Here is a 1,558-nt window from a genome sequence, read left to right as displayed (position 1 = left end):
AGAATTTTTAATGTGACTGATGTTAAGTGACTGGTAATAAAGAATTCTATTTAAGGTTTGGTATGTTTTAGACTTTGAAGAAGCAGCAATCCCTTCTAATAAAATTAAAGCAGCAAGCTCAGGGACAACCTAACTAGGTAGCCAAACAAGCTCAGGCAATCTTACTGAGTGTTGTCAGGGGACAATAGATTAACGAGCTGCCTCAGGCAAGTATAATTCATGGAATGACACAAAAAGAGGGGCACATGTTTATCACATGCTCTGACCAGGGTATATAAACCTCCTATACATGCTGGCATTCACACTCAGGATCTTGCCTGAACAACAAACCAACTCACCACTCCTGACACCATGAGTCACTACGGCAGCTACTACGGAGGCCTGGGCTACAGCTGTGGAGGCTTCGGTGGCCTGGGCTATGGCTATGGCTGTGGATGTGGCAGCTTCTGCAGACGGGGTTCTGGCTGTGGCTATGGAGGCTACGGATATGGCTCTGGCTTTGGAAGCTACGGATATGGCTCTGGCTTTGGAGGCTACGGATATGGCTCTGGCTTTGGAGGCTATGGATATGGCTGCTGCCGCCCATCGTACAATGGAGGATACGGATTCTCTGGCTTTTATTAAATGAATTGCTGAAATTGGAAGCAGAGGAGAAACCTCCAAATGTGTTTGGTCCTGTCCCGTGCTTTCATTCCAAAAATCCATTCTATTGCCTTCAGCATCAATGGAGAGATATTTAGCTATGTTAAATCTTTAAAATAGATTTAAGCTGCTTCTGTGAATATTTGTTGTCTTTTTACTTTCGGAGTCCGTCACCTGAAATCATATTCATGTATAACTACTCTAGGTTGTTCTTCTAAATTTGCTTTATTTTTCTTACCACCATTACCTTGATGTTATCTATCAAGATCCTAGCAAAAACTTGTATTTTGCTTTTATCTAATAAATGAAGTAAAGTATAAATATTTTAGTTCTTGTCAATGTTTCCATTGTCATATTTAACATTTTATTTTGCAACTACTATAAAAAGTTTACTTATGAGGCAGTGAGATCTGTGGCTCCATGGTGGAATATGATGAAAATGTTTCTAGTTTACTGTGTTAACGGAAGCTTGAGAACAAATAAGATATCATATTAACAAGAGATAAAAATAACTTGCCTGTCTATTTACTTAGGATGTCAGCCCCTCTCAAGTGTCCCTCAAGTGTTCCTGGAATCACTAAGGATAGTGTCATTCTCATATTCTGCTGTGCAACGTTGGTTGCTGTTAGCTGAACGTCTTCTTGGTACCCCTGTTCTGGCCAGGCATGTGTTTGCTTTTTGTCCACCCTTCAGTTGAGGTTGCGGCAAGGAGATTGGGAAGTTTCACTCATTTCCTACTCAGAACTACATTCTATATTTAGCATCTCCCTGAAGGCCATTGTCCAATATTTGACTGAGGCAACTCCCACTGAAATGCGGCACTGAAACCCAGTGGCACAATGTTGTACAAAAAATGGGAGGTAGTTTGCAAATGTATTCTCCAATTCCGTGGGTTGTCTCTTCACTTTGTTGATTG

At 41.1% G+C, this 1,558-nt stretch overlaps 1 protein-coding gene across 1 annotated transcript; it reads left to right on the top strand.

The window, feature by feature from the left end:
- The first annotated feature begins 301 nt into the window (after positions 1-301).
- KRTAP19-1 (keratin associated protein 19-1) lies at positions 302-963 on the top strand. Its single transcript, NM_181607.3, has one exon. The coding sequence runs from the start codon at positions 352-354 to the stop codon at positions 622-624; it is 273 nt and encodes a 90-aa protein (NP_853638.1). The 5' UTR covers positions 302-351; the 3' UTR covers positions 625-963.
- The last annotated feature ends 595 nt before the right edge of the window (positions 964-1,558 follow it).

This window comes from Homo sapiens, chromosome 21, assembly GCF_000001405.40.
Source record: "Homo sapiens chromosome 21, GRCh38.p14 Primary Assembly".
Taxonomy (NCBI): Eukaryota; Metazoa; Chordata; class Mammalia; order Primates; family Hominidae; genus Homo; species Homo sapiens.
This window is presented reverse-complemented; position numbering and strand designations above follow the sequence as displayed.

Excerpts from the sequence above, each read along its gene's own strand:
- KRTAP19-1 (NM_181607.3), top strand. The coding sequence starts at position 352 with ATGAGTCACTACGGCAGCTACTACGGAGGCCTGGGCTACAGCTGTGGA.